The sequence below is a fragment of the Homo sapiens genome, chromosome 15 (genome assembly GCF_000001405.40).
Source record: "Homo sapiens chromosome 15, GRCh38.p14 Primary Assembly".
Classification (NCBI taxonomy): Eukaryota; Metazoa; Chordata; class Mammalia; order Primates; family Hominidae; genus Homo; species Homo sapiens.
In genome coordinates, this window is record NC_000015.10 from 97,174,286 (window position 1) to 97,178,953 (window position 4,668).

The window sequence follows — 4,668 nt, forward strand, 5'->3', positions numbered from 1 at the left end:
AGGGAAGTGGGTGAGCCAATCCTGGTACTAATAGAAAAAAAGTGGAAACTAGAGAATTAAGTTTATGGGCACTTGTGTCAACATTGTTTGAAGTAGAAGCTCCAGAACCCCTTATTCAAGAAGGAACAGCAGAAATGTTCACCTAAATGCAACACTGCACCAGGGGATCAGAACCATTTTCAACTCCTGGTGCTTTTGGTAGGTTCATCCAGAGACTCACTGTTGGATTTTAACTTGATTTCTGACATTGCGTTAGCATTGCTTCAATCAGAACTGATGGAATAAGGCCAAGTTACTAATCTTAGAACACATGTCAAATATAAACCAAACAGCACTGGCATTTGCTTTCATCTGTAAAATGGGGGTAAGAATCCCAACTTCACACAGTTTATGAGCCAAACTAGATAGCATATTCACAAACACCCGACATAAAGCCTGCTGTTCAAATGCTTTCCTTCTTTTTCTTTCTCTCTCTCCTTCCCTTCCTTCTTCTTCCCTTTTTTTCCTCTTCCTTCCACCCACATTGATTCTTCAGTCTCCATTAACTTCCCTAGTCTTTCTGCTGTTTCATTATATGATTCCAGCTATGTGAGACATAATTTAATATATATAATTTTCTTAAAAACTGTATAAAATTTTATAAACTCTTAAAAAGATAGATGCACAGGAAAAACTCCATCATATAGACAAAATATTAGTCTAGGGTAAGGGCCACATATAAGGTTTCTCTTTGTTCTCCCCTCACTCCAGTACCAAGCACAGTGCTGCGTGCAAAGCAGGCACTACTAAGCAATTTAAACTAAAAGAGGAAGTGAAGGATGATTTAAAGATTCTAAAAAGTTACAGCCAGTACTCACAATTGCAGAATTTGACTCCAGGAAGACAGGCGTTGATTTCTGTCATTTCTATTATGACACATTTTATGTAGGAAAGTCCATTTGTGTCCATTATACATCCATATATATGCATATACATTCTACTTGATATTACTGAAGTAATCTGATAAACTGGTGATTCTAAAATAGCTACCATTTATTGAACACTTGTAAATGACAAGGAGTCTAAGTGCTTGGCATGAGTCATTTCCATAAGTATTAGATATGCTAGTGCATTGTGCAACACACTGCTGAATCTATGTGCTGAACACAAGCCCCTCTTTCTATAGGATTTCTAAAGAAAAAAATTAGTTGTGTTTGTATGTAGAATTATTCTGTTAATGTTTACTTCTTTGTTACAAACATGTAGGTAATATCTAGATATAATATCTGCATTCATACTCTTTCTCCAGAATTCTGATGTTATTTTCATCATTTTATATGTCTGGAGAATGAAACTATCAGATTTGAACTTGATCTTGGACATTCCCTTTGATAAATGCAGGGACCCCCCCTTTCAGCATGGAGGTATACGAAGTCTTCCAGATCAGTTTATCAGCTTCATTTGTAAGAAGCTTAGAGGTTGAGCATAGGAATAAAAAAAAATCTTCAACGCACTATAAAATTGTAATTGTTATTTTCTTGGACTTTTATCATCTTTTGGCAGAAAGCTTAATGTTTGGCTTAAATACACTGTTAGCTGAGGAGGGATTTTGCATTCTGTTCAATAATAGGCAGGTGGATCACTTAAAATAAAATATAATTATATCCAGAAAAAAATAAGTTATCCTCTATGATATTTCTGGGAAACAATGACATATTGTGGATCTTTTATGGATAAACAGAAACATTTCCCCATGTCCAATACCCACTGTAGCATTTATATCATTAGAAAATTATAGTGGTGACTGCAAATTTTTGACTAATTGGGTTTCTTAGATAATAAGAGCTTTTTAATAAGGTACATATCATTTACAATATTGCAAATGAAATGTGAAAGCGATTCAGTACCCGGTAAGATAATGGCTAACTTGTTTTAATTGTTAACATTTTTTCTTGCCTACAATGACACAGTCATTATTTCACAGTCACCACTTATCATGAAATCCAAGAGGATTAATGGTTTCACTTATACTGGCGAAAATGTTTAAGCTGTCCCGATTATCAGTGCAGTTGGAAAGAATAATGGTTATTTGTCATCGTGTTTAGCAGGAGAATGAATTGTCCCTCCAATAGTGGCGCCATTAACCCTTTGGGGAGGTGGTAATAGAGTTTTACCACACAGCTAAAGGATGCCAAGATTTAGGATCGGATGTTTGTTTGTAGGTGGTTTATTCTCATCCGCAACTACCTTAAAGAATTGCATACTCTGCCGGCAAAGTGGAAACACACAGCTAAGCTTGTTACACAATTTTGGATATCTGAAATTAAAATTAGATCGCTACTGATCTGTTCTTATGATGAATGGACAAACTGCTGCATTAAAAATATAATCAAGAGAAATATAAAATCTGTAAAGGGAAAAAATATATTTGTAAATTCTTCGCTCTTTGCTTCCTCTCTTAAAGAAAAATAAAAAAACGTGGATTGCTGAAAACAGCCTCTCATGATTTCTCATGCACAACACTCAACTATTTTAACTCAAATACTACATTTTAATAGATCCTATATTACTTTAAAAATTCTTACCATACATACCTGGCTTAACCATACATAGGTAATAATTAAGAAAACTTTCTCAATTTTTGAATGACTAAAATTATGCTAATTGCAGATAAAGGCTGATGATAATTGATAAAGTCTGTACATAAGAATCAAGACTTTGATTCAGTAAAAATGTAAGTGTAGGAATATAAATATACATCTGCTGCATGATGCTTAACATTCTGGCTTAGGTGAGTGATTTCAGTTACAGATTGCAATGGTAAAACCAAATTACTGTATCAAAACAAATGCAGAGCTATGTTAAGAAAATAAATATTTGCCTTCAGTAAAATTAACAGAATCTCCCCCTTTCTGGACGGTGGCTGGGATTGGAATGTAATGAAATACCTCTCTCATCAGTTCCCCTCTCAGCGTAACCAGAGCAGGAAATGGCCTTGCCTGCCTCCGACTCCCCTTGTTCCCTCTCCTGTGGCTGAGACAGTAGGGCAACTCTAATTCACAGAAAGGGAGAGGCGGCCATAAAGCGCATGTACTTCTCGGGAGGGCACTGAGGGCCGACCTGGGGGAGGGGATGGGAGGGGAGAGGGCAACAGCAACAAAAATAAAGCGTGTTTTAGGAGATACAGCTGGGCTGCCTTATCTTGTTACAGAGAAAACAGTGTTCTGTCTCCTCTGGAGAAGCAGCCGCAGCTCAGCCCGGTCAGGCAGCATGAGGGCCCCTCCGCTCAGCACCTGGGCAGTTGAGAAATCTGTCTCCTAAAGACATGCACTTCTGAAGCATTACACTGCGTTCAGACGCCTCCAATTTTGAAAGGAGGCGGCAACAAGAAGACCATCATCCCTTTCAGCAGAGTCCATACACACAGTTTCCTTGACAAAAGCTAGCTCTACCCCCAACACATTCACAGACCAAGTTTCAAAATGGAGTGGGATGCCTCTGGAAGTAAGTAAAGTGCAGGCAGTTGAGGTGTGAATAGGAATTACATTATTCAACACTATAGGGAAAACATTTGACTCCTGGGGGCCTTCCATCTTTGGAATCAAGATGGTCGTATATGGAAGCTTCTAGCACCACCGCGATCATTATGTGTGTTCTGTTGATAAACTGGTGTTCCTTTGAGATGGTAAACAAGACAGCTTCTCCTAGAGCCCCATGAGGTATGCCGAAACTACACACACCACTCGATTTAGATGTACGAGGTCAGGGGAAACAGCTGCCAGTAGATGAAAAGACATAGGTGAAAAAAAGAGAATAGAAAACAAGGAAAGACAGACAGAAGAGAAAAAAGCAAGCCAGAGAGAAATAACAAGCCGCAACGTGTTTGCGTCGTCCAAGTACAGTGATACGGAGACACAGACTGCAGATGTGGCTGACAAAATTATAGTGAGAATTTAGCGAGCAGATCCAATTCAGAGTTTCTGACTGACACAATGAGATTATGGTCCCTTCTGCAGATTGGAGTCTTTGTTTCTGTAAGGCTGCTTTTTGAGTTTCCCTGACTTCATTTGGTGAAGGGCAATTCTAGTGGAAAATGAGGCAGAGTGCTAAGGATGATGATTTTTCAGAAAGACAGCACCAGAAAATACCCTCTGAGAATTTAATTCCTTCATAATGGAGTTCAGCACCTTCTAAGTTATAAAACAAAATGGTACCGTAGCCTTTTTCAGCCAGCCAGATGCTTGATTTCCAAATAGCACAGGCTAAAATAAAATTTAACTTTTATTCTTGTCTCTAAAATAAATGTAAATGCATTATCTGGGTATGGGTAAGCAGAAAAATAAAGATCCCAGACTGTGCCTTAAAACCCTACTGACAGATGGTGAGGTTAAAGAGTGAAGGCCCCAGACAGAGGCCCCAGTACCCAAGAAGGTGAGCAGCCATCTGAAAAGAAAAATGATGTATATGTTTGAAAGATTTTCCTTTATAATTATTTACTTCAATTTTTGTCTTCTTTGCTTGGATGTTTATAGAATTAATAATCTATAGATTGTTAAAATATAGAATTAAGGAGTGTGCATATCTTAGTAAGTGCTGAGTGTGAATGTAATCAGGACACTTTTTGCCTCTTAACTCTTCCATTTTGTGAACCTGATAAACTCAGACATTTTTAAAGAGGCACATAAAATC

At 37.7% G+C, this 4,668-nt stretch overlaps 1 annotated feature.

Moving 5' to 3' along the window:
• Positions 2,841-3,041: a silencer, noted in NCBI's record as "peak2438 fragment used in MPRA reporter construct". NCBI's record gives its function as "represses an SCP1 promoter by STARR-seq MPRAs in K562 erythroleukemia cells {active_cell/tissue: K562}" and the evidence as "EXISTENCE:reporter gene assay evidence [ECO:0000049][PMID:32103011]".